Source organism: Homo sapiens, chromosome 7 (assembly GCF_000001405.40).
Source record: "Homo sapiens chromosome 7, GRCh38.p14 Primary Assembly".
Lineage (NCBI taxonomy): Eukaryota > Metazoa > Chordata > Mammalia > Primates > Hominidae > Homo > Homo sapiens.
In genome coordinates, this window is record NC_000007.14 from 72,990,537 (window position 1) to 73,018,127 (window position 27,591).

General features: G+C 46.1%; 1 long non-coding RNA gene and 2 pseudogenes across 3 annotated transcripts, besides 3 other annotated features; 2 read left to right on the top strand and 1 right to left on the bottom strand.

The window, feature by feature from the left end:
* Positions 1 to 1,025: 1,025 nt before the first annotated feature.
* On the top strand, positions 1,026 to 6,980 carry LOC124901672 (uncharacterized). The gene is made up of 2 exons (XR_007060382.1): positions 1,026 to 3,397; positions 6,871 to 6,980. It is a non-coding gene; the product is annotated as an uncharacterized LOC124901672 (long non-coding RNA).
* STAG3L3 (STAG3 cohesin complex component like 3 (pseudogene)) lies at positions 6,759 to 15,407 on the bottom strand (annotated as a pseudogene). Its single transcript, NR_040582.2, has 9 exons — positions 15,040 to 15,407; positions 13,109 to 13,194; positions 12,485 to 12,601; positions 9,822 to 9,945; positions 9,225 to 9,323; positions 8,935 to 9,014; positions 8,519 to 8,626; positions 8,140 to 8,254; positions 6,759 to 7,828 (listed from the first exon to the last, which is right to left on the bottom strand). The product of NR_040582.2 is annotated as an STAG3 cohesin complex component like 3 (pseudogene) (transcript).
* Positions 14,780 to 15,288: an enhancer, noted in NCBI's record as "NANOG-H3K27ac-H3K4me1 hESC enhancer chr7:72475839-72476347 (GRCh37/hg19 assembly coordinates)". NCBI's record gives its function as "activates a minimal SCP1, AML or CMV promoter by ChIP-STARR-seq in naive H9 embryonic stem cells {active_cell/tissue: H9 hESC(naive)}" and the evidence as "EXISTENCE:reporter gene assay evidence [ECO:0000049][PMID:30033119]".
* Positions 14,925 to 14,984: a silencer, noted in NCBI's record as "silent region_18243". NCBI's record gives its function as "represses an Ori minimal core promoter by ATAC-STARR-seq in GM12878 lymphoblastoid cells {active_cell/tissue: GM12878}" and the evidence as "EXISTENCE:reporter gene assay evidence [ECO:0000049][PMID:35858748]".
* Positions 15,289 to 15,797: an enhancer, noted in NCBI's record as "NANOG-H3K27ac-H3K4me1 hESC enhancer chr7:72476348-72476856 (GRCh37/hg19 assembly coordinates)". NCBI's record gives its function as "activates a minimal SCP1, AML or CMV promoter by ChIP-STARR-seq in naive H9 embryonic stem cells {active_cell/tissue: H9 hESC(naive)}" and the evidence as "EXISTENCE:reporter gene assay evidence [ECO:0000049][PMID:30033119]".
* On the top strand, positions 15,544 to 25,839 carry PMS2P7 (PMS1 homolog 2, mismatch repair system component pseudogene 7; annotated as a pseudogene). Its single transcript, NR_130940.1, has 6 exons — positions 15,544 to 15,638; positions 18,908 to 19,047; positions 20,933 to 21,019; positions 21,186 to 21,298; positions 22,556 to 22,741; positions 25,793 to 25,839. The product of NR_130940.1 is annotated as a PMS1 homolog 2, mismatch repair system component pseudogene 7 (transcript).
* The last annotated feature ends 1,752 nt before the right edge of the window (positions 25,840 to 27,591 follow it).

The window sequence follows — 27,591 nt, forward strand, 5'->3', positions numbered from 1 at the left end:
GCCCCCAGTGGTGACCCAGGGCCCACCTGGCACCCATCTGCCTGCCCAAGGCAGACCCTGGCCTGGGAACCCCATCTCCTTGGGCTGAGATCCCACCCTGGGGCTGGGGAATGTTCCTGCCCTCCACCTTCCTTCTGGGGTCTCAACTCCTGCCAGGCAGCTGGCCTGACCTCAGATTTCCCCTAGCCCAAGGCTATGTCATCATGGGGGCGGCCTGAGGAGGGCTGAGCTCTCCCTGACCCTAGACTCTTCTTTACTGACAGGCTAGTGTCCATATGGATGGATCATTCATTCACTCATTCATTTATTTAATACACTCCCTGTCTGTTCGATGCACACTCCCCTTCTCTCCACTTCTGGCCCCGTTTCCTCTAATCCTTCATTCCTTGGTTCCCAGAGGGTTAAATGTAGATCGATATGTCACCTCTGGCTCCAAAGGTCTCTGAAGGGCCAGGTGCGGTGGCTCAAGCCTATAATCCTAGCACTTTGGGAGGCCGAGGTGGGTGGATCACCTGAGGTAAGGAGTTCGAGACCAGCCTGGCCAACAAGGTGAAACCCCATCTCTACTAAAAACACAAAAATTAGCCGGACTTGGTGGTGGGCGCCTGTAATCCCAGCTACTCAGGAGGCTGAGGCAGGAGAATCACTTGAACCTGGGAGGCAGAGGTTGCAGTGAGCCAAGATCACACCACTGCACTCCAGCCTGGGCAACAAGAGGGAAACAAAAAAACAAAAAACAAAACAAACAAAAATAAATAATTTAAAAATAAGGGTCTCTGAAGACTTCCTGCTACTTTCTGGGTCCATGCCCCTCCTCTCCGTCCTCCACTTCCCACCGGGCTCTTCAGGCTCCAGCCTAGATAACACCAGGTTAAATTTTGATCTCCCGGGGACTGGGTGTCGGGAGGGAAAGGCGGGGGGAGTGTCAGAGAGGGGATGGATTTCTCCCACCACACTTGGGGAGGCCTCCGGATGGATATGTCCTTCCAGCTGATGGACCTCAGGATTGGGAGAAAGATCGGGGACAAGAGACGGGCACAACAGTCACCTGGTTTCTTTTTCTTCCTTTATTTTTTGAGACTGAGTCTCGCTTTATCACCTAGGCTAGAGTGCAGTGACACGATCTTGGCTCACTGCAACCTCCACTTCCCAGGTTCAAATGATTCTCCTGCCTCAGCCTTCCGAGTATCTGGGATTACAGGCGTGCACTGCCATACCCGACTAATTTTTGGATTTTAGTAGAGATGGGGTTTTGCCATGTTGGCCAGGCTGGTCTTGAACTCCTGACCTCAAGTGATCTGCCCACCTTGGCCTCCCAACGTGTTGGGATTACAGGTGTGAGCCACCGTGCCCAGCCACATGGTGTCTTCCATGACAGCTCCCTCTCTGCTGAAATAGCATTTCCCACCCCCACCCATGGCATCACTCTTCTGCTGCCATTTTCATCAAAGACTGATGTCACTTGGCATGTTTTTAGGTTTTTTTCTGGTGGCTTTTATTTTTTTAATTTTAGAGATGAGGTCTCACTATGTTGCCCAGCCTAGTCTCAAATTCCTAAGCTCAAGGGATCCACCTGCCTCTATCTCCCAAAGTGCTGGGGTTACAGGCATGCACCACCACGCCTGGACCACATTGCATGCATTTTATTTAAATTTTTTTTTTTTTTTTTTTAAGACGGAGTCTCATTCTGTCACCCAGGCTGAAGTGTAGTGGTGCGATCTTGGCTCACTGCAATCCCGGGTTCAAGCAATTCTCCTGCCTCAGCCTCCCGAGTAGCTGGGATTACAGGCGTGAGCCACTGTGCCCGGCCTTTATTTAAGATTTGCCTCCTTAACCATTACACCTGTAATCCCAGCCCTTTGGGAGGCTGAGGTGGGCAGATCACCTGAGTTCAGGTGTTCAAGACCAGCCAGGCCAAGATGGTGAAACCACATCTCTACTAAAAATTCCAAAATTAGCCAGGCGTGGTGGCAGGCACCTGTAGTCCCAGCTAATCAGAAGGCTGAGGCAGGGGAATTGCTTGAACCTGGGAGGTGGAGGTTGCAGTGAGCCAAGATTGCACCACTGCACTCCAGCCTGGGCAGCAGAGTGAGACTGTCTCACAAAAAAAAAAAAAAAGAAGTGTCAGGTGCTGGCAGAGACACTGCTTTTCCCTAATTGACCCGTTTGGTCCTCACATTAACCATATTTTACAGCTACTCTCATTTACAGATAAGGAAACTGGGCCAATGAGGAGGTGAGAAATCGCTCAAGGCTGCCAGGTACAGTGGCTCATCCCTGTAATCCCAGCACTTTGGGAGGCCAAGGGAGGAGGATTAATTGAGGCCAGGAGTTTGAGACCAGCCTAGGCAACATAATGAGACTCTGTCTCTACAAAAAATTTAAAAATTAGTGGGGTGTGGTGATGCATGTGTAGTCCCAGCTACTCCGGAGGCTGAGGTGGGAGGATCGCTTGATCCCAGGTGTCTGAGACAGTAGTGAGCTACGACTGCACCACTGCACTACAACCTCGGTGATGCAATGAGATGCTGTCTCAAAAAAAAAACACACACACACACAAAACAACAAAAAAACAAATTGTTCAAGGCGAGCCTGGTGTGCCAAGCCCTTGTTCTGGGCACTTGGCTTATATTATCTCCCTTAATCCTTCCCACCACCCCAAGTGCTAGATACTGGGATTAATTTAGTTGAGCTGTAATACATCAATACTGTGTGAAATGCTATGCAACATCTAAAAGGAAGACAGGTGGAGCTTTTATTTATTTTTTATTTTATTTATTTTTTGAGACACAGTCTCGCTGCATTACCCAACCTGGAGTGCAGTGGCACAATCACAGCTCACTGTAGCCTCAACCTCCTGGGTTCAAACAATCCTCCCACCTCAGCCTCTCAAGTAGCTGGGACTACAGGCTTACACCACCAAGCTTGGCTAATTTTTTTTTTTTTTTAAGAGATGGTGTTTTGCTAAGTTGCCCACACTGATCTCAAAATCCTTTTGTTTTTGCTTTGGAATGGTCTGGAACTCCTGAGCTCAAGTGATCCTCCCACCTTGGCCTCCCAAAGGCCTGGGATTACACGTATGAGCCACCGCACCAAGCCCAGGTTGAGCTTTTAAGGTATTAAAGATCCACTAGGTGAAAAAAAAGAGTGAAAGATACATATGCCATTTAAGGGAAGCACAGGAAAACTCCTATTTTGTTTATATGTGAATAGAGGCGCATAGATGCCTAGAAAAGTGTCTGGGAGGGAATGAAACCAGATTGGCCACAAAAATCACCTCTGGAAAAAGGAAAAGAATGGGGACTTTCACTTTTTGCTTCATATGTTTCATGCACCTTTTTTTTTTTTTTTTTTTGAGATGGAGTTTCACTCTTATTGCCCAGGCTGGGGTGCAGTGGTGCAATCTCAGCTCACTGCAACCTCTGCCTCCTAGGTTCAAGCGATTCTCCTGCCTCAGCCTCCCGAGTAGCTGGGATTACAGGCATGCGCCACCACGCCCGGCTAATTTTTTGTGTTTTTAGTAGAGACGAGGTTTCTCCATGTTGGTCAGGCTGGTCTCGAACTCCTGACATCAGGTGATCCGCCCACCTTGGCCTCCCAAAGTGCTGGGATTACAGGCGTGAGCCACCGCGCCCAGCCGCTTTTTCTTTTTAAAAAGTAAAATATAACAGAGAAAACTGCACAAAACAGAAGTGTTCAAATTAAATTTTTTTTTTTTGAGACAGGGTCTTGCCCTGTTGCCCAGGCTGGAGTGCAGTGGCTCATTCATAGCTCACTGCAGCCTCAAACTCCTGGGTTCAAGCGATCCTCCCACCCCAGCCTCCTGAGTGGCTGGAAGGCGAAGGGAGGATCGCTTGAGCCCAGGAGTTTGAGGCTGTGCCACCACACGCAGCTGGGTTTTTTTTTTTTTTTTTAATTTTTTGTAGAGACAGGGTCTCGCTATGTCACCCACGCTGGTCTCAAACTCACGGGCTCAAGCAATCCTCCCATCTTTGGCCTCCCAAAGTACTGAGACTACAAACATGAGCCATCTTGCCCAGCCCCTAGAACGTGTTATCAAATAAACACCGATGCAACCCTCACTCAGCCGAGAAGTAAAACATTGCCAGCCAATCCCTAAATGCTTCTGCTTGCCGCTTCCCAATCCTAACCAATGCCTTCTCCTGACAATTATGATGGTCATGTCTTTGCATTTCTCTAATGTTTCCCATCACGATCAAACTAGTTTTGTTTTGCCTGTGTCCAAACTTTGCATAAATGAGCAGCATGTGTCTGGTGGACCTGGCTTCTTCCACTCAACATTATGATAAGAAGATTGACCATTTGGTGCCCATAGCTATTGCTCTTGCATTTTCATTGCTCTATAGATTCTTACTCAACATACCTTAAAATTTTTTTTATTCTGAAATAAGAGCGGGATGCTATTAAAAAAAGAAAAAAGAAGAGAACAAAAAAGTCCTCCAGTAAATTTAAAATATGGTAGTCAAGGCCGGGCACGGTGGCTCACACCTGTAATCCCAGCACTTTGGGAGGCTGAGGTGGGTGGATCACCCGAGGTCAGGAGTTCGAGACCAGCCCGGCCAACATGGCAAAACCCTGTCTCTACGAAAAAAATACATAAATCAGCCAGGTGTGGTGGTGTGCACCCGTAATCCCAGCTACTTGGGAGGCTGAGACATGAGAATTGCTTGAGCCCGGGAGGCAGAGGTTTCGGTGAGCTGAGAACTGCCACTGCACTCCAGCCTGGGTGACAGAATGAGACTATAAAAGAAAGAAAGAGAGAAAGAGAGAGAGAAAGGAAGGAGAGAAGGGAAGGGAGGGGAGGAGAGGGGAAGGGAGGGGAGGGGAGGGGAGAGAAGGGGAAGGGAAGGGAAGGAGAAGGGAAAGGGAAGGGAAGAAAATTAGAGATTAATTCAGGAGATTCAACATCCGCCTAATAGAAATTCTAGAAAGAGGAAGTAGAGAATAGAGAGGCCAGGTGCAGTGGCTCACACCTATAATCTCAGCACTTTGGGAGGCTGAAGTAGGAGGATTGCTTAAGGCCAGGAGTTTGAGGCTGCAGTGAGCTATGATTGAGCCACTGTACTCCAGCCTGGAAAACAAAGCAAGACCTCGTCTCTAAAAGTAATAATACGCCGGGACGGTGGCTCCCCACACTTTGGGAGCCTAAGGTGGGCGGATCACTTGAGGTCAGGCTTTCGAGATCAGCCTGGCCAACATGATGAAACCCAATCTCCACTAAAAATAAAAAAATTAGCCAGGTGTGGTGCTGCACACCTGTAACCCCAGCTACCTGGAGGAGACAGGAGAATTGCTTGAACCCGGGAGATGGAGGTTGCATGAGGCGAGATTGCCTCATTGCACTCCAGCCTGGGTGATAGAATGAGACTCTGTCTCAAAATAATAATAATAATAATAATAATAAAGTTAAATATAAATAAATAAAAGCAAATGAATATAATGAGTTTTATTCATTTGTTTTGCTGTTGTTATTGTTTTGGAGACAGAGTTTTGTTCTTGTCGCCCAGGCTGGAGTACAATGATGCGATCTGGTCTCACTGCAACCTTCGCTTCCTGGGTTCAAGCGATTCTCCTGCCTTAGTCTCCTGAGTAGCTGGGATTAGAGGCGTGTGACACCACGCCCGGGTAATTTTTGTATTTTTAGTAGAGATGGGGTTTCACCATGTTGGCCAGGCTGGTCTCGAACTCCTGACCTCAGGTGATCCACCAACCTGGGCCTCCCAAAGTGCTGGGATTACAGGTATGAGCTATCATGCCTGGCCCCATTTCTTTTAAAATCAGAAGGAAAAAATATATATAACTTTTAGGCCAAAAATGTCTTCACGTATATTAATAGATTGATCTTTTCCCAATGCAACCATAAATATCATTTTTTAAAATTATTATTATTTTAGAAACAGGGTCTCACTCTGACGCCCAGGCTGAAGTGCAGTGGTATGATCTTAGCTCACTGCAGCCTCCAATTCCTGGGCTCAAGCGATCCTCCCACATCAGCTTCTTGAATGTGACCTCAGGCAGAAGTCACCGTGCCTGGCTAATTTTTAATGTAATTTTATTTTTTTGGTAAAGATGGGTTCTCATTATGTTGCCCAGGCCAGTCTTGAACTCCTGGCCTCAAGTGATCCTCCTGCCTTGGCCTCCTAAGGTGCTGGTATTATAGGATTGAGCCACCAAGCCCGGCCCGAATATAATTTTTAATTTTTTTTTTAAGACAGAGTTTCACTCTTGTTGCCTAGGCTGGAGTGCAGTGGCATGATCTCGGCTGACCGCAACCTCCACCTCCCGGGTTCAAGCGATTCTCCTGCCTCAGCCTCCTGAGTAGCTGGGATTACAGGCATGCACCACCACACCCAAATAATTTTCTATTTTTAGTAGGGACGGGGTTTCTCCACATTGGTCAGGCTGGTCTTGAACTCCCGACCTCAGGTGATCCTCCCACCTCGGCCTCATAAAGTGCTGGGATTACAGGCATGTGCCACCACGCCCGGCCTAATTTTCTAATTTTTTTTTTTAACTGAAGAAGGACCCCAGGAAGTCAAAAGTGCCTATAACCCATGAAAGTCTAAATGAGGACAACGGAGGCTGGGCATGGTGGCTCACTCCTGTAATCCCAGCACTTTGGGAGGCCAAGGTGGGCGGATCACCTGAGGTCAGGAGTTTGAGACCAGCCTGGCCAACATAGTGAAACCCTGTCTCTACTAAAAAACACAAAAATTAGTCGGGTGTGGTGGCGGGCACCTATGATCACAGCTACTCAGGAGGGTGAGGCAGGAGAATCGCTTGAACCTAGGAGGCGGAGGCTGCAGTGGGCTGAGATCGCACCACTGCACTCCAGCCTGGGGGACAGAGCGAGACCCCGTCTCAAACAAACAAAACAAAACAAAATGAGGACAATGGGGCTTCCAATGGCAACTCGAGACGTTAGTTTACTCCAGAGTCATGGAGACAGAGAATGGAGTGTGTGTGTGTGTGTGTGTGTGTGTGTGTGTGCGTGTGCGTGAGTGAGAGAGAGAGAGAGGAAGAAGGGAGGGAGGGAGGGTTACAGGAGTGTGGGAAAGTCAACAGGAAAAGGAGGGAAGGTTCGCTGTGAACTGACAGTAACTGTGACATCACAGGCATGTGCGGAGTCCCCGCCCCCCCAGGCACTGTGCCAAGGCCAGTACCTTCATGTCATGAGACCCTCTCAGCAACTCTGTAACCTTGTCCCCACCAGAATATTCCTTTCACAGCTGAGAAAACAACAGCACAGAGAGGATGAATTAAAAATTGTCTAACATGCTGGGCGCAGTGGCTCACGCCTGTAATCCCAGCACTTTGGGATGATGAGGCAGGTGGATCACAAGGTCAAGAGATCAAGACCATCCTGGCTAACACGGTGAAAACCCGTCTCTACTAAAAATACAAAAAAGTTAGCCAGGCGTGGTGGCGGGCGCCTGTAGTCCCAGCTGCTCGGGAGGCTGAGGCAGGAGTTGCTGGGCACTGGACACAAGGATTTCTATCAGTGTGCTCTCCTGCACATCACCCAGGTCTGGAGTGCCAGGAGGATCAAAAACATAGAATCAAAGATTAGCCACCTTCCAACTCCAAGTTTCCCCCACCCCATGCCACCGTTCCTGCCTTGTACAAGTGAAGCAAGCAATCTCTCCTGGTTTCACCCTAGGAGGTGGAAGGTCCCTGGCCCTGGCTCCATGTGGCACGTGCTCTGGTCCTTCTCCAGCAGCAGGCTTGTCAGACCCTCCCAGTCCTTCAGCTGAGTCCCTGCACAGTCCCACAGGTTGTCTACTAAGTAAGCAGCGTGGTCGTGGAGCTGGGGAAGGAGGTGCATGGGGATTTAGTGATGGCATGTTAAAATACCCTAGGAAGTGGTTACTGATTAAATATCGCTCTCCTTCCTACAGTGTACACCCCCATCCTTCTCCATCTGTCTTTTTTTTTTTTTTTTTTTTTTGGTAGAGACAGGGTCTCACTATGTTGCCCAAGCTGGTCTCAAACTCCTGGGCTCAAAGGATCCTCCCACCTCAGCCTCCCAAAGTGTTGGGCTTACAGGCGTGAACCACCAACCCCAGCCCACTTGTAGGTCCTATGCACAACAGCCAGAGTTATCTCTGTGTATGTCACCTTGCTCTCCACAAAGAAGGACAGCAGAAGCTGGAAGAAAGTCCTCTGGGCACCTGGGCTCTGGCGTTGCTCTCTTCCACCCATCGTTCTTATCTCGCACTCAGGGTAGAAAAGTCTGGTGGAATGGACACAAGGAAAGGGCTCAGCACAGGAGGAAACAAGGAGGTGTAATGATGACCACAGAGGGAGGAGATGGCCCAAGGAGATGATAAAGGAAAAGGAGGTGCAGAGCTAAGGAAAGCCCCAAGGAGCTGAGAGAGGAAAAGAGACAGCAGAGAGACTTCCACGGAGATGGGGAGGCCTTAAGTAGGGCAGCAGCACATGTGGGAGAGAAACCGAGAGGGTGGTGTTAAAGAAACGTAAAAGGAGCCCCACTCACTTCCAGTACAGAAATTCACCCACAGCAGAGGCCAGGCCTCAATTAGAGGCCTACACAATGGGGTAGACGCTCTCACAGTCCACGTCCATCAGCACCCCTTCCATGTTCCTGCCCACAGAAAAGCAGAAAGAGTGTGTGAATAGGGACATTGTCTTCTGGCACAATCAAGGCTAGAAAGAAAAAGAGGCAAAAGCAACAAGGACATAACTCACAAAAAACTCCTAAATGGAGAGTGGAAGACAAGGGAGTATGGGGAGTTAGAGAAGACAGAAATATTACCCTCTCAACATACTGCAACTCAGGAATGACCTCAGTCAACCTGCACAGATGGAAGAGTCAGCTGTGACAGGTGGAGGGAGATGACCCTGGAAGGGCAAAGGTCTGAGACACTGGCCTCCCCTCTTCCCAGGACTCACTTAAGGATAAGTATCAGTAATCTGACGGCCTCCACTGCCACACTGTACTCTCTGTCCATGATCATGGAAACCATCCAGTCCTGCAGAAAGGAGAAAGTCACTCAATATCTCATTACGCCCATTCCAAATATTCTGTTCTCTTAGAATCAGAGCCTCCTAAAGAGAGTGCCTACGTAGAGGCAGATGCTGGGATAGCCAAGACATCTTAGAGCATGAAGGGTAGAAAGATACAAGGTGGGGAAACGGGAACCACGACAAAGAGCCAAGCCAAGGAGCACCACCCGTCTCACCTTGAAGCGGCCAGTGAAGAGCTCCAGGCGTGCGGTCAGGTCCCGGTTACCGTACAGCCCTTTCAGAGCCTTCACGCACTTCACGCGGACTTCTCGGTGCTGGTGAGGAGGGAAAACCAAGAGAATGGAAATAAGACCAACCACACTCTACTCGCCCCTACTGAGCGTCCAGACTCCCCTCTCCGATCCCTCATTCTAGCTTGGGTGTCCCCTCTACTGAGGACTCTAAGATGTCAGAAACAATGAACAGCTGTCTTCATACTTAAAAAAAAAAAAGGATCACAGCAGTACTCATGATGAGAAGGATCCTTTGGCTGCCCCTTAGCACCTGCATTACCATCCATCAATAACTGTCTTCCATTGTAAAGTCTCTCTCCCCGTACCTCATGTTTTGAGTCATTTCATCTCCTGGGTATGTCTCTCTCTACCTTATCCTACCCTCCCCAGTGCTAGCGGAGTTTCAAGGTTCAGCGCCTTGATGGGTTAATCATTGGTCACTAGGTAAAATATCTCAGTGGCAGGCCCAGGAAAAGGTGAAGTGTCCTAGGACAGGAAAAAGATGAAGGAAACGGAAAGGGAAACTGACTCGAATCCCACCTTATCATGCAGAGTCCAACCAATATATTTTAAATAGCTGTCGGTGAGGAAAGACGTGCTGTAGCTTTGCATCCAACACCCAATTTCCTCAATGCAGATAGCACGGATCTCAGGAAGGACATCCCTAGACACAGACAGATAAGTTGACTCTTAGAGCCACCCTCTCTCCAAACTCACTTTCCATCCTACCAGTTAACTCCCTCTCATGGAAGAATTTATTTTCTTGAAATGCCATGTACCCCATGCCTTTCATTTCTTCCTCCCGATGTAAATACTATATATATAGTAAAATACATGTAAATATTTTTTCTCTTTTTTTTAAGGGATGGGGTCTCTTGCTGTGTTGCCCAAGCTGGCCTTGAACTCCTGGGTTCAAGTCATCTTCCCACTTTGGCCTCTCAAGTAGCTAGGACTACAAAAATGTGCCATACCCAGTTAGTAAATATTTTCTTTCTGTTACCAAACCATAAAATAGTTAAACACCAGCCTTGTACAGCCTAATTCTCCACTCCACCTGTTGCCCAGGCTGGAGTGCAGCGGCACAATCTCAGCTCACTGCAACCTCTACCTCTCGGGTTCAAGTGATTCTCCTGCTTCAGCCTCCTGAGTAGCTGGGATTACAGGTGCACCACCACGCCCAGCTACCTTTTTGTATTTTTAGTAGAGATGGGGTTTCACCATGTTGGCCAGGCTGGTCTCGAACTTCTGACCTCAAGTGATCTGCCCGTCTTGGCCTCCCAAAGTGCTGGAGTTACAGGTGTGAGCCACTGCACCCGGCCTCCATACCTCTTTTAAAAACCAATTTTGAAAGTTCATTCAGGCTGGGCATGGTGGCCAAAAATTAGCCAAGCATGGTGGCGGGTGCCTGTAGTCCCAGCTACTTGGCAGGCTGAGGCAGGAGAATCGCCTGAACCCGGGAGGCGGAGGTGCAGTGAGCCAAGATCGCGTCACTGCACTCCAGCCTGGTGACAGAGCAAGACTCCGTTTCAAATAAAAAACTAACACACTGTACAACTGCATGTAAGGTGGAAAAGACAACTGGAATTAAAATGTGCTCAGGTCCTTGTAGAAGATAAGAAATCCAGAGGAAAGCAAGCAAAGGGGGAAAAAGAAACAGAAAAGATAAAATGATTGTGCCAACTCAATACTAGGCCATAAGGCTAAGTCTCCATAAATTTTTTTTTTTTTTTTTTTTTTTTTGAGACAGAGTATCACTCTGTCACCCAGGCTGGAGTGCCGTGGCACAATCTCAGCTCACTGCAACCTCCACCTCCTGGGTTCAAGCAATTCTCATGCCTCAGCCTCCCAAGTGGCTGGGATTACAGACAAATGCCACCACATGCAGCTAATTTGTGTATTTTTAGTAGAGATGGGGTTTCGCCATGTTGGCCAGGCTGGTCTCGAACTCCTGGCCTCAAGTGATCTGCCTGCCTCAGCCTCCCCAAGTGCTGGGATCACAGATGTGAGCCACTGTGCCCAGCCCCCACATAAATTTCAAACACCACATTCCCTGACTACAACACAATAAAGTTAGAAATCAAATAACGAAAATATAACTAGCAAAATTCTGTATGTTTGAAAATTTTAAATATTTTCCCAGAAACTATAAAACTACATGTTAATGTGGATAAATCTCAAACAATCTTAACTGAAATAATTAAATCACAGAAGCCTGAATAATGGATTCATTTACATAATTAAAGAACACATTCATAGTGGTAACACTATAATGAAAGATGAGAAAGATTAACGCAAAGTTCACCCTAGTGTTTACCTATGGGTAATAAGGGGACTGTGAGGTAGGGTAGAAAGAAGGTACACAAAGGATCTCTACAGCACTATTAATGTTTCATTTCTTGAGCTGGGGCTAGAGATCTGGGTGATATCTCATTTTTATTTTTTAAACTACATATACGCTTTGTACACTTTCAGATATTAGAACTTCAATAAAATTATAAAAAAAGAAACAGGGAAAAAATAATTAAGTATAATTGTCAAGATGGAGCTAAAAAATAACACGGGTGAACAAGGTGCCACCCACATCTAAGCTTCCTTCCCATGTCATGCAATGCCTCTCCTCATCTGCTCCATCAATCAATAAAGGCATAATCACTCCTGTGATACCTTTAAGAAAAGAACACGCTTTAAGAAAAGAAACGCTCTCTCGAAGCCGGGTGCGGTGGCTCACACCTGTAATCCCAGCACTTTGGGAGGCCGAGGCAGGCGGATCACCTGAGGTCAGGAGTTGGAGACCAGCCTGGCCGACATGGCGAAACCCCATCTCTACTAAAAATACAAAAATTAGCTAGGCATGGTGGCACATGCCTGTAAGCCCAGCTACTTGGGAGGCCTCAGCCTCCCAAGACCATGAGAATCGCTTGAACCCAGGAGGCAGAGGCTGCAGTGAGCTGAGACTGTGCCACTGCACTCCAGCCTGGGCAACAGAAAGAGACTGTCTCAAAAAAAAAAAAAAAAAAAAAAAGAACATGCTCTCTTATTCAAGGTTACCCTTCTATCACTCCAAGGATTCACCCCATAATCTTATCTTTCTTGATATGTTACACTCACTAAAATGTTCACATCAAATCAAGTTTGTAGACACTTGTCCTTACCACCTTACAAAAAGTGAGATGGTATCAACAGAGGTAAGACACTGCTTTTACCTGCATGTCACTTTTGGCAGCTTTCGCAGCATTGAAAAGATCATTGGCTGGTGGCTCTGACTGTTTCCGGCTATGACGATGTACCGCTTGGGACCCTTTCTTTGGATATTTTGCCACCTGATACACATAAAAAGATCAGAAATATGAAAAAAAGGTAACAGTGACATTAACACTTGGTTTCATCATTATCACACAAGTAGGCTTACGCTGCCAATTCCACAGCAGTCTGAGTTAGACTCAGTCCTGAAATAATTGATTTTTATATTATGAAGTTTATTAACTTTTTTCCCTTTAAAAAAAAAATTCCTTGAGTCTCCTTCCCGTATCTCTATAACCAAACATCCTTTTCTTTTCTTTTCGAAATTTCTCTTCTTCCTATTTCCGTCCCTTAATACTTTGTAAATCTTGTCCTTTTTTGAACCATATCACCTGAACCTCTTAGGTTTTCTCTTTTTTTTGAGACGGAGTCTCGCTCTGTCGCCCAGGCTGGCGTGCAGTGGCGTGATCTCGGCTCACTGCCAGCTCTGCCCCCGGGGTTCGTGCCATTCTCCTGCCTCAGCCTCCCGAATAGCTGGGCTGCTTCCCCCACAAGATTCAAAAACAAAAGAAAACTGGCTGACTCACCGGCGTTGTTTTCAGTGGTCGTTTTGCTGCTTTCTTCTTCACACCGCGATTGAAGCTGTCCTCAAATCATTTTCTTGTCTTCTTGTCTATTTGTATGAATTACTGAGTTACATTCTCATTGCTACTTATTTAAGCAAAGTATTCTTAGTTTGTTAAGAACAAAGAACTACAAATTGTGTTCATTTTCTGTCCTTTCCTGTTCTTAGACTAAATTACCTGAAATACATCAAAATATATGCTGTATGCTTACCTATATCAAAACTATGTTGTTTAGGTGCCGGGCACAGTGGCTCACACCTGTAATCCAGCACTTTGGGAGTTCAAGGCGGGCGGATCGCCTGAGGTCAGGAGTTCAAGACCAGCCTGGTCAACATGGCAAAACCCCGTCTCTACTAAAAATACAAAAATTAGCCAGGTGCAGTGGACAGTGCCTGTAATCTCAGCTACTCATGAGGCTGAGGCCTGAGAATTGCTTGAACCCAGGAGGCCAAGGTGGCAGTGAGCTGAGATCATGCCACTGCACTCCAGCCTGGGTGACAGAGTGAAACTCCGTCTGAAAAAAACAAAACAAACAAACAAACAAAAAACCAGACCATATTGTTTAGGGATACTTAGCTGACAAAATAATAGAGACAAGCATGACATAATTACCATAAAAATCAGGCCCTGGGGTGCTGGTGGGGAAGGTTTAAGTGGAAAGAATGGAGCGGTGACAATGTGTGTCAACCTGGGAGGTGGTGACCCTGGGGTTCGCTTTGTAATTCCTCAAAATGAGCATTTATGTGCTATTCACTTTTCAGAGGATAGAATTCTGAACTAAAATGTTTAAGCAGCCATACGCAAAAAAAGAAAAAATATGGATAGATTTTTATTTTAATTAAAACATTTAAAAAATAGAGACAAGGCAGCTGGGCGTGGTGGCTCACGCCTGTAATCCCAGCAATTTGGGAGGCCGAGGCAGGCGAATCACGAGGTCAAGAGATCGAGACCATCCTGGCTAACACGGTGAAACCAAGTCTCTACTAAAAATACAAAATAAAGTTAGCCAGGCGTGGTGGCGGGCGCCTGTAGTCCCAGCTACTGGGGAGGCTGAGGCAGGAGAATGGCGTGAACCCGGGAGGTGGAGCTTGCAGTGAGTCGAGATCAGGCCACTGCATTCCAGCCTGGGCGACAGAGCAAGACTCCAACTCAAAAAAAAAAAAAAAACATAGAGACAAGGGTCTTGCTATGTTGCTCAGGGTGGTCTCAAACTCTCCGGGCTCAAGCAATCCTCCCGCTTCGGTCTCCCAAAGCGCTGAGATTCCAGGCGTGAACCACCGCGCTCGACCAGGAAAAAAATATATATATATATAATATACAATATATTTTATAATATATTATGTCATATATTACACATAATATACAATATGTATAATACGCATAATAAAGGTATATTTAATATATATAAAGATATATATGTATATAATAATTTTTTTTTTTGAGACGGAGTTTCACTCTTGCTGCCCAGGCTCGAGTGCAATGGCTCGATCTCAGCTCACTGCAAGCTCCGCCTCCAGGGTTCAAACCATTCTCCTGCCTCAGCCTCCCGAGTAGCTGCGATTACAGGCGCCCGACACACGCCCGGCTAATTTTTGCATTTTTAGTAGACACGGGGTTTCACCATGTTGGCCAGACTGGTCTCGAACTCCTGATCTCAGGTGATCCGCCCGCCTCGGCCTCCCAAAGTGCCGGGATTACAGGCGTGAGCCACGGCGCCCGGCCTGAATAAATCTTTTAAAACATAAAAATCTGGGTGAGCCCCTGGCCGGCCGGCACAGATGCCGGGGTGGGGCCGCGAATCGGTTGGGACGCACTCTATCCGGCCTAGGGGCACCCGGGCCAGCACCCGGCCGCCGCGCGTGCGCAGTGGGCGGGGTGCCCCGCGCTCCTACCTGCAAGTGGCCAGTGCCAAGTGCTGGGCCGCCGCTCCTGCCGTGCATGTTGGGGAGCCAGTACATGCAGGTGGGCTCCACACGGAGAGGGGCGCAGACCCGGTGATAGGGCTTTACCTGGTACATCGGCATGGCGCAACCAAAGCAAGAGAGGGTGGCGCGTGCCAGACACCAACGGTCGGAAACCGCCAGACACCAACGGTCGGAAACCGCCAAGACACCAACGCTCGGAAACCGCCAGACACCAACGCTCGGAAACCGCCAGACACCAAGGCTCGGAATACACGCCAGACCACGACGGAGGGCGACCACCTCCCTTCTGACCCTGCTGCGGGCGTTCGGAAAAAAAACGCAGTCCGGTGTGCTCTGATTGGTCCAGGCTCTTTGACGTCACGGACTCGACCTTTGACAGAGCCACTAGGCGAAAAGGAGAGACGGGAAGTATTTTTTCCGCCCCGCCCGGAAAGGGTGGAGCACAACGTCGAAAGCAGCCAATGGGAGCCCAGGAGGCGGGGCGCCTGTGGGAGCCGTTGAGGGCACTTTCCCAGTCCCCGAGGCGGATCCGGTGTTGCATCCTTGGAGAGAGCTGAGAGCTCGAGGTGAGCTGGGCTCGCGGTCGCCCCTCTCGCTCGCCCTCTTTGAGAACCACGGCTTCCGACCTCCCTGGAAATGGGGGGAACATGGCCGAGGCGCGTGGGAGGCCGCCTCGTGGAGGCCCCGGAGCGGCATCCTCAGCGCCCCAGCGATCCGGTGCCCATTAGGTGCGCCTTGAAGCCGAGGCAAGCTCCTTCGGGGTGCTGGGCTGCGGGCAAAGAATTCGGCCCTGTGAAGAGTTGGGTTCGGCCTGTCTCAGGCCCTGCCCACATCCCATCACAGGGCCGTGGACTTGAAGCCGGAACGTGAAATCCCCATAGACTGAATGCATTTCCTTTCTACCTGTTCTCTCTCCCCTTTTATTTTTATTTTTATATTATTTTATTTTTAATTTTTATTTTATTTTTTTGTAGAGACGGGGATTTCGCTATGTTGCCCAAGCTGGTCTGGAACTCCGGAGCTCAAGCAGTCCGCCCGCCTTGGCCCCCCAAAGCTCTGGAATTACAGGCGTAATGCACTGTGCCTGGCCTTTTAAAAAAAAATTGAGGTTATTTTGGGGACAGTAGAGCGTCCAGACACATCCTAATTTGCGTAGCTGCTCAGTTTTAAAAAATGCAATGCATTTTTACCTCTTAGGGTATGTGATTTCTGGCTGGTAAGCTACACCGAATCTTGGCTAGCACAGTTGAATTCCATGTCAGATTTGTAAACGCAAATTTGCTCTCTGCATTTAAATATATTAGATATATTTAGGTAACTACATTTAAATGTATTGAGACATTTAAATACACTTGCCGTCTGTATCTAAATATCTGAAGTGGACCAGGTGCGGTGGCTCACACCTATAATCCCATCACTTTGGGAGGCCAAGGCAAGTGGATCATGAGGTCAGGAGTTCACGACCAGCCTGGCCAACATGGTGAAATCCCATTTCTACTAAAAATACAAAAATTAGCTGGGCGTGGTGGCAGGCGCCTGTAATCCTAGCTACTTGGGAGGCTGAGGCAGGAGAATCGCTGGAACCCAGGAGACAGAGGTTGCAGTGAGCTGAGATTGCACCACTGCAGTCTAGCCTGGGTGACACAGCAAGACTCCATCTCAAAAAAAAAAAGAAAAAAAATCAGAAGTGAACCTGTAGCCTGTAGTGTGTTGCCAAATAAACTTATTTTTAGAGATACTTCTTTCCATTTTCTGTGAGGTCATCTGCAGTTTCACATGGTAGACAGACTTAGGTGAGATTCTTAGCAACATAGAATGAACAGTAAAGAGGTTTGTTTATTTCACAAGGGTTTATTGAAGGCCTACGATGTGTTAAATGCTGTAGGAAATACCCACTGATTTCTCTTTTCATGGAGGTTTCCCGCCTTCTCTTAACGAGTGATCAATTAAACTGTTTACTGGGAACTTGCTAAGTTAATGAACACACGGGATACATTCTTTGGATGAGCAGACATTGGGCAGAGGGGCAAGAGGAGAGCAGTTTAGACAGAGACCTGCTTATACACTGTAGTGTCTAAGAGAGCTTGTGATGTTCAGGAAACAGTTGTTCACTGTGCTGCAATATAGGGGACGGCCAGTTGCGGTGGCTCACACCTGTAATCCTAGTGCTTTGGAAGGCCAAGGCGGGCAGATCACCTGAGGTCAGGAGTTAGAAACCAGCCTGGCCAACATGGTGAAACCCCATCTCTACTAAAAACACAAAAATTAGCTGAGTGTAATGGTGGATGCCTATAATCCCAGCAACTTGGGAGGCTGAGACAGGAGAATCACTTGAACTTGGGAGGTGGAGGTTGCAGTGAGCCGAGATCATGCCATTGCACTCTAGCCCAGGTGACAGGGTGAGACTCTGTCTCAAATAATAATAATAATAATAATAATAATAATAATAATAATAATAATAATGTAGGGGACTTGATGAAGGGAAAGGATCAGAGAGATTCTGAAAAGAAGGTAGTTTGGGGCCCAGTGATGACTAGATTTTAAGTTTCATATAGTAGGAAGTGGGGCACTAGTAATTTTTCAAGCAGAAAAATTATTTGACCAGATTCGTGATTTCAAAAATAGCTCTGGTGATAGAGTGGAGGATGGGTTGGAGCAGGGAATAAGGGGAAATGAAACTGTTATAAAACTCTTAAAGTGGGCTGGGCATGGTGGCTCACGCCTGTAATCCCAGCACTTTGGGAGGCTGAGGCGGGCGGATCACGAAGTCAAGAGATCGAGACCATCCTGGCTAAAACGGTGGAACCCTGTCTCTACTAAAAATACAAAAAATTAGCTGGGCATGGTGGTGGGCGCCTGTAGTCCCAGCCACTCAGGAGGCTGAGGCAGGAGAATGGTGTGAACCCGGGAGGCAGAGCTTGCAGTGAGCTAAGATCGTGCCACTGCACTCCAGCCTGGGCGACAGGGCGACAGAGCAAGAATCCGTCTCAAAAAAAAAAAAAAAAAAAAAAAAAACCTCTTAAAACAAGTACAGCAAGAACTTTGAGGGTCTTTGCTAAGACAGCAGCTGGCAGCTTCAATTTGGAGTAGGGTATCAAAGGCAACTGTGTATAAGGAATAGTTATATAACTGGTATCCAATTTCTGAGATGATTTTGACTTAAACATTGTGTATTTCCCAGCATACTGTTGGTTTTTCTAATTATGTGGGAAATTATGTTGCTTTTACTTTTTTTTTTGCTCATTGCCCAGCCTAGGGTGCAATGCTGCAATCTCAGCTCACTGCAACCTCCGCCTCCCAGGTTTAAGTGATTCTTCTGCCTCAGCCTCCCAAGTAGCTGGGATTACAGGCGCCCACCACCATGCCTGGCTAATTTTTTGTATTTTTGGTAGAGACAGGGTTTCACGACGTTGGCCAGGCTGGTCTCAAACTCCTGATCTCAAGTGATCCACCTGCCTCTGTGTCCCAAATTGCTGGGATTACAGGCATGAGCCACCGCACCGGCCATGCTTTCAGTTTTCAAGAAAGAAGACACCATTATTGCCAAAGATTTTGGTAATTTGAGAGATACAATGTATGTTTTCTCCATGTGGATACTAGATAGTAAGGATGTGTTGAATTTGAAGTGTCTATCCAGAAGTATTTTGGGTACTTGTTTAAGGATTGTAAAACAATGTTTCCATTTCTGGATATAATAAATGTATTTGTTAATATAATAAATGAATAGATTAGACCCATAAACTATTTGCAGTGTTGAGTCATTTCCCACAGTTAAAATCAGGATGAAAATATATAGCTGAATACTTGCTTTGTTTCTTGTAACTGATTTCTTTAGTACAGAACCTGCTAAGGCCATCAAACCTATTGATCGGAAGTCAGTCCATCAGATTTGCTCTGGGCCGGTGGTACTGAGTCTAAGCACTGCGGTGAAGAAGATAGTAGGAAACAGTCTGGATGCTGGTGCCACTAATATTGGTAAGTTTGGGAGAGTTTTAAGCCACAAGAAATGATCAGTGAATGTTGTTGTAGTCAAGAAACATTTGTTATTGAAATAAGACTATCAAGTGTTGATGTAGTAATAAACTATTATTTTTAAGTTAAAGTTAGCACCTATTATGTGCCTAGTACTTAGCTAGGTAGTAATAATAATAACGACAGCTTTTCTTGTGTTCTTATGGTGTGCCAGGCAGGTGTTATGCTAAGAATTGCACAGAAATATCTCATTTAATTTGCAGAATAGCTGGGCGTGGTGTCTGACGCCTGTAATCCTAGCCCTTTGAGAGGCTGAGGTGGGGGGATTGCTTGAAGCCAAGAGTTCAAGACCAACCTGGCCAACATGGGGAGACCTCGTCTCTATTAAAAAATAAAGCAGGCCGGGTGTGGTGGCTCACGCCTGTAATCCCAGCACTTTGGGAGGCCAAGGCGGGTGGATACCTGAGGTCAGGAATTCGAGACCAGCCTGTCCAAAATGGTGAAACTCTGTCTCTACTAAAAATACAAAAATTAGCCAGACCTGGTGGCAGAAGCCTGTAATCCCAGCTACTGGGGAGGCTCAGGAATGAGAATTGTTTAAATTTGGGAGGTGGAGGTTGCAGTGAACCGAGATGGTGCCACTGCACGCCAGCCTGGGGACAGAGCAAGACTCTGTCTCAAAAAAATAAAATAAAATAAAATAAAATAAATCCTGGAGTAGTGGCTCACATCTGTAATCCCAGCACTTTGGGAGGCTGAGGGGGGCTGATGCTTTGAGGTCAGGAGTTCAAGACCAGCCTAACCAACGTGGTAAAACCCTGTCTCTACTAAAAATACAAAAATTAGCCAGATGTGATGGTGCATGGCTGTAATCTCAGCTCCTCAGAAGGCTGAGGGAGGAGAATTGCTTAAACCTGGGAGGTGGAGGTTGCAGTGAGCCAAGATCGATTGTGCCACTGCATTCCAGCCTGGGTGACAAGAGCAAAAGTCCATCTCAAAAAATTAAAAAAAAAAAAAAAAAAAGGAAAGAAAAAAAAGAAAATGACAAAATTAAAAAAAAATTATTAATCTGCCAAATAACTTTATGAGATAGAACTTATTACCTCCATTTTACAGTTGAGGAAATTAAGGGACAGTAAATTTCCTTTTTTTGAGATTATAAAGCTAATAAAATAGAATCTAGGAAGTCTGATTCCAGAACCAGTTCTGTTTTTTTTTCTTTTTTTTTTTTTTGAGATAGAGTTTTGCTCTTGTTGCCGAGGCTGCGGTGCAATGGCACGATCTCAACTCACTGCAACCTCCACCTCCCAGGTTCAAGCGATTCTCCTGCCTCAGCCTCACAAGTAGCTGGGATTACAGGCATGCACCACCACGCCTGGCTAATTTTGTATTTTTAGTAGAGATAGAGTTTCTCTACGTTGGTCAGGCTGGTCTCGAACTACTGACCTCAGGTGATCCGCTCGCTTTGGTCTCCCAAAGTGCTGGGATTACAGGCATGAACCACTGCGCCCGGCCCCCGTTCTCCTTACTGGGTATGTTAAAATTATTTCTTTCAAAGGAAAAGGCTGGTCAAAGTGCAACGGTCTTTACAACTAATTGATCACAACCAGTTACAGATTTTTTTGTTCCTTCTCCACTCCAACTGCTTCACTTGACTAGTGTAAGGAAAAAAAAAAGAGGAAAGAAAGAAAATGCTAAACTATTTAATCTGGGCTAGTAAATGGCCAGAAAGAACTTTATAAAAATGAAATATACAAAATGACACTAGTATGTTTAACTAAAGGTATAGTTACGACACTTAAATTTGCACGTTATAAATAATATCAATATAAAAGCTGATAGCGTGGGTCCATTTTTAATAAATATATAAATATTTTAAACTTTCTAGATCTAAAGCTTAAGGACTATGGAATGGATCTCATTGAAGTTTCAGGCAATGGATGTGGGGTAGAAGAAGAAAACTTCGAAGGCTTAAGTAAGTTAACTTTCTAATCCTATTACAAAATAATTGGGCCACATGTCTTAGAATTTTGAGTAACACTGTCTTGGGAAACACAAAAACAGTTTTTTAAAGCCAGTTACTAGATATCATGTATATTTGTTGTTATAGCACTTGAGATATCTTAGTCCTTACTTTACAGTCTCTTTCAGCTCTGAAACATCACACATCTAAGATTCAAGAGTTTGCCGACCTAACTCGGGTTGAAACTTTTGGCTTTCGGGGGAAAGCTCTGAGCTCACTTTGTGCACTGAGGTGAGAAAATATTTTTATCCATTCACTTGACCCCTTAGAAAAACCTCTCTGAAAATTAATTGGAATCATTATTATTTACAATTTTCTATCTCAATATCTCAGCTTCTAGCTTCTGAATTCTGTTTTGTCTCACTGCCAATCTAAGTCCTAGTACTTCTGAAATGTGAGCAATAAATGAATGAAATGAAGCAAATAGTATTGTTTAAAAAATTGGTTACCCTTATTAAAACAGTAACTTCTCAATTTGAACATAACATATAGATAATAAATGATAGTTACCATTGGTTTTCATTATCAATTTTTAGGGAAACATTTCACCAAAGCACTATTTAATTACAGCACAGATACTAAATTTTTATAAATAATTACATGCACACACACATATATATACATATATATACATATATATACATATATACATATATATATACATATATATACATATATACATAAATATATACATATATATACATATATACATATATACATATATATACATATATATATACATATATATACATATATATATATATATATATTTTTTTTTTTTTTTTTTAGACAGAGTCGCACTCTGTCACCCAGGCTGGAGTGCAGTGGCACAGTCTCAGCTCACTGCAGTCTCTGCCTCCCAGGTTCAAGTGACTTTCGTGACTCAGCCTCCTGAAGAGCTGGGACTATAGCGTGCACCACCACTCCTGGCTAATTTTTATATTTTTAGTAGAGATGGGGTTTTGCCATGTTGCCCAGGCTGGTCTGGAACTCCAGGCCTCAAGTGATCTGCCCTCCTTGGCCTCCCAAAGTGCTGGAATTACAGGCACGAGCCACCGTACCCTGCCCTACATATACATTTTAATTATAATATCTTTTGGATTCTTTAAAAAAAATTTTAAAAATTTTAAAAAATTCTTTAAAAAAATTCTTTTAAAAAATTTTGTTTGAAGAGTAATAACAAAACAAATCTCTATTTGAGAATCAATAAATCTTGAGATCATTTATGGTTTTGCAATTCAACCTGAAAAATGAAGTCAAAGCTTTTATCAAAACAAAGCATGTTTAGTGCTCTCTGTCTCACTGTCTTTTAGATGCCAGACCTTAGATTTTGTGATGACTCCTCAACCGTTTAGATCTCGGTTATCTCAGAGGGATCATCAGCTTTTTAAGAAAATTTTGAGAGAAAAGCAAGTGAAGAAAAGAGTAGTCAGTGCCCAACATCATGGATCTCTCACTGAACACACCATGCCTGGTATTCTCTCACAGTGATGTCACCATTTCTACCTGCCACGTATCGGCGAAGGTTGGGACTCGACTGGTGTTTTTGATCACGATGGGAAAATCATCCAGAAAACCCCCTACCCCCACCCCAGAGGGACCACAGTCAGCGTGAAGCAGTTATTTTCTACGCTACCTGTGCGCCATAAGGAATTTCAAAGGAATATTAAGAAGGTACAGTAAATTAATCCTGGTTTTCAAGAGTATTGGTTAATGCACATGAGCAAAAGATTTACTAAAGATGTTTATTCTTCAGTTGATTCTCTTCCCATAATTTATTGAGAAATGCTTTATTTGCATTTCTCATTAAAGACTTAACTTCAGGATGATTTACTTTTTTCTTTTTATCACATAATGTTTATTAGGACTGGGAAACATAGTGAGACTCTGTCTCTATGAAAAATTAAAAAAAAAATTGACTGGGCATGGTGGCATGCACCTGTAGTTCCAGCTACTTGGGAGGCTGAAGTGGGAGGATCACCTGAGCCCAGGAACTTGAGACTGCAGTGAGCTATGATTGCGTCACTACACTTCAGACTGTGAGACAGAGTAAGACCCTGTCTGGAAAAATATATATACATATATATACATTTTTTTTATTTTTTATTTTTATCTTTTTTTGAGATGGAGTCTCACTTTGGCACCCTGGCTGCAGTGCAGTGGCGCGATCTCAGTTCACTGCAACCTCCACCTGCCAAGTTCAAGCGATTCTCCTGCTTCAGCCTTCTGAGTAGCTACCATTACAGGCGCGCGCCACCACGCCCGGCTAATTTTTGTATTTTCAGTGGAGACGGGGTTCCACCATGTTGTCCAGGCTGGCCAGGCTGGTCTTGAATTCCTGCCCTCAGGTGATCCGCCCACCTCGGCCTCTCAAAGTGCTGGGATTACAGGCGTGAGCCACCATGCCTGACCTTATGTACTTATATTTTTATGAGAATATTTCTCTTGGTTTTCTGATAAATGAGTTACTGGAACCCTTATGAATTTGAATGCAAATGAAACAGCTAAATGTTATATAATTGTTGTGTTTAAAAAGCAGATTATAAAACTGTCTGTATTATATGATTACAGTTTTATAAAAACAAAACAGGCCTAAATGTGTATAGTATAAAGACTGAAGAGTCAGCACTTCCATGTTCTCAGCGGTTATCCTTGGATGTGAGATCTCATGCACTTTTTGCTCTCTTCTTTGTGCCTTTCCATTTTGCATGCGTATTTCTTATAATCTAAAAAGTTACTTAAACATATGCAGCTAAAAACTTTTTTTACTTGTAAAGCGTTTGGTGCTAATTTTAACTTTTTTTTTTAGACGGAGTCTTCTCACTCTGTCGCCCAGGCTGGAGTGCAGTGGTGTGATCTTGGCTCACTGCAACCTCCGCCTCCTGGGTTCAAGTGATTCTCCTACCTCAGCCTCCCAAGTAGCTGGGATTATAGGTGTGTGTCACCACACCCAGCTAATTTTTGTATTTTTAGTAGAGATGGGGTTTCACCATGTTGGCCAGGCTGGTCTTGCACCCCTGACCTCAAGTGATCTGCCCACCTCAGCCTCCCAAAGTGCTGGGATTACAGGCGTGAGCCACCACGCCTGGCTTTTTTTTTTTAAAGCTTTTTTGTAAGTCAGCCAGCAAGAACACAGGAGGAAGTACTCAAATCTCCCTTACACAGCTGGGGGCTGTGTCAGGTTTTATAAGCATAGGGTAATGAGGTGTGATTTGATTGGATCTTGCAATAAAGTAATGCTGGGAGGTGTGATCTGACTGGATCCTGCCATGGGGTGACACCAAAACTCAATCTGATTGGATCCTGGCTCCTGCCTGGGGGTGTCTGGTTCTTAAATCGGTCCGGGCTCTTCAGGCTGAGCTCTTAGGTTCCACTCCACGGTGGCACGCGTGGTTAACCTGGGCATGCACAGGGTACATGACCTTCAACCTGCAGGTCGATGGCAATTGGAAAACAACTGACAACTTCATTACATAAAAGTTGAACTGATTCGGGTGCGGTGACTCACGCCTGTAATCCCAGCACTTTGGGAGGCCAAGGCAGGTGGATCACCTGAGGTCGAGGAGTTCAAGACCAGCCTGGCCAAAATGGTGAAACCCCGTCTCTACTAAAAATATAAATATTAGCCAGGCGTGGTGGCGCACCCTTGTAATCCCAGCTACCCCAGAGGCTGAGGCAGCAGAATGCTTGAACCTAGGACGTGGAGGTTGCAGTGAGCTGAGATCGTGCCATTGCACTCCAGCCTGGGTGACAAGAGTGAAACTCCATCAAAAAAAAAAAAAGTTGAACTAGATTTGGTCTGATGCAGTTACAGATTTACAAACCGCGTCCCACCCTCCTGCCAACACCTTCCACTCCTCATTCTTGAGGGATTAGGGATGGAGGTCATGCTTCTGTATCGACTTCATGCTGACCAGGGGCACTTAGTCCCCTAAAGTGAGAGGAATGAAACTCTTGGGCTTCTGAGTTCAGATGAGTTCTGGGGTCACCCGGAGTAGCTTGAAAGGCTGGTATTGTTGTAATACAAGCTGAAGGTGGAAGTGTTGGATCCTGGAGGACAAACAGCTCACCATCCATTTAAATAAATAGGACCAAAAAGTAACAGAACAGTGGCCACGAGGGGCCCCAACAGAGGAAGAAACCAGGTGAGGTGTGGTATAGTGGACTCGACTGCCTTCTAAATCTCAGTGGTTGTCCGGGTGCGGTGGCTCACGCCTGTAATTCCAGCAAAAGAAGAGCCGAGGCAGGGTGATCACGAGGTCAGGAGTTCAAGACCAGCCGGGCAAACATGGTGAAACCCCGTCTCTACTGAAAATACAAAAATTAGCCAGGTGTGGTGGCGTGTGCTGTAGTCCCAGCTACTAGGGAGGCTGAGGCAGGAGAATTGCTTGAACCTGGGAGGCGGAGGTTGCAGTGAGCCGAGATTGTGCCACTGCACTCCAGCCTAGGTAACAGAGCAGGACCCCATCTCAGTCAATCAATCAATCTCAGTGGTTGAACTACCCTTGATATGGTTCAGCTCTGTATCCCCAACCAAATCTCATGTCCAATTGCAATTCCCAGTGTTGAGGGAGGGACCTGGTGGGAGATGATTGGCTCATGGCGGCTGACGTCCCCCTTGCTGGTCTCGTGATAGTGAGTGAGCGCTCATGGGATCTGGTTGTTTAGAAGCATGCAGCACCTCCTGCTTCACTCTCTCTGTCTCTCCTGCTCCACCATGGCCAGAAACGTGCCTGCTTCCCCTTCGCCTTCTGCCGTGATTGTCAGTTTCTTGAGGGCTCCCCAGCCATGCTTCCTGTACAGCCTGCAAAACTGTGAGTCAACTAAACCTCTTTTCTTCATAAATTCCCCAGTTTCCAGTAGTTCTTTATAGCAGTGTGAAAACAGACTAATGGACCCTTCTGGTTGAAGGAATGTAGCCATTCTGCTTGTTTAAGTATTTCCTTTCTATTCATCTCTATTTCCCGGGAGGTGTTTATCCAAGTGCAATAGGAGATATTGGTGACTGCAGAGTCCCCTCAGTGTTCTGCTAGTAAATAGTTGAAGGTTGATCAGTGATCTCCAGCATTTTCAGTCTGGCATGGAAAAGCCCCCATGTAACTGGTAAAGGTATCAGTAAGCACCAGGAGGTATCTAAATCCACCAGGAGCCATAGGCATCATGTTGATGTCCATTTACCAGTCTTCCCTGGCAAGATTCTCTGAATTGTACTGCCTTGGCCAAAAGAGGTATGGGAGGGGCTGGGCACAGTGGCTCACGCCTGTAATCCCAGCATTTTGGGAGACCAATTCGGGTAGATCATTAGAGGTCAGGGGTTCAAGACCATCCTGGCCAACATGGTGACATTCCATCTCTACTAAAAATACAAAAAGTCAGCGGGGTTTGGTGTTGGGTGCCTGTAATCCCAGCTACTCGGGAGGCTGAGGCAGGATAATCACTTGAACCTGGGAGGAGGAGGAGGTGGCAGTGAGCTGAGATCTCGCCATTGCACTCCAGCCTGGGCAACAAGAGCGAAACTTCATCTCAAAAAATAAAAAAAGAAGTCTGGGTGTGGTGGCTCGTGCCTGTAATCCCAGGACTTTGGGAGGCCAAGATGGGTGGATCATGAGGTCAGGAGTTCAAGACCAGCCTGGCCTAGATGGTGAAACCCTGTCTCGAGTGAAAATACAAATATTAGCTGGGCATGGTGGCACACACCTGTAATCTCAGCTACTCAGAAGTCTGAGACAGAAGAATTGCCAAAACCCGGGAGGGAGAGGTTGCAGTGAGCCGAGATCGCGCCACTGCACTCTAGCCTGGGCGACAGAGCAAGACTCCGTCTCGAAAGAAAGAAAGAGAAAGGAAATTCCCCAGGGAAGTACCTCGGCTTATTTCATGAAGAGGTACTGAAGGAAGCAGAGGCATGTGGAGGACTTCCCCACCTCGTGCAGCTATTTGGGCCGTGGCGTCTGAAATTTCTTATTTCAGAGTCACCCCTTTGATGACCTTGGCAGTGGACTGCAGTCATCTGTTTAGGCCTCTCCATGGCCCGTGTCAATGCCGATATTTCTGTCTGTTGCACATTTGATTTCCTTGTTGTTGGCATTTAGAAGGCCCCCTGTTTCCCAGATCACACCACGGGCATGGACCGCAGAGATTGCATCTTGTGAGTCTGTAGAAACAGTCAAGGCCTTGTCCTCTCTTAGGTCCAGAGCTCAGGTGAATGCAGATTTTCCCGGCCATCTGTGCTGAAGTCCCTGTGGGGAGGCTCCTGGCTGGTTTCCTGTAGGTAGACAGCTACACATCCTGCCCTTCATTGGCTTCTTTTCATGAAGCTCCTGCTGTCTACAAAACATGTCTCCCTTTTCTTCTTGAACCACATCTCTGTTATTGAAACTCTAGAAGTCAGCCAGGCACAGTGGCTATGCCTGTAATCCCAGCACTTTGGGAGGCCAAGGTGGGTGGATCACCTGAGGTCAGGAGTTCAAGACCAGCCTGGCCAACATGGCGAAACCCTGTCTCTAATACAAATACTAAAATTAGCC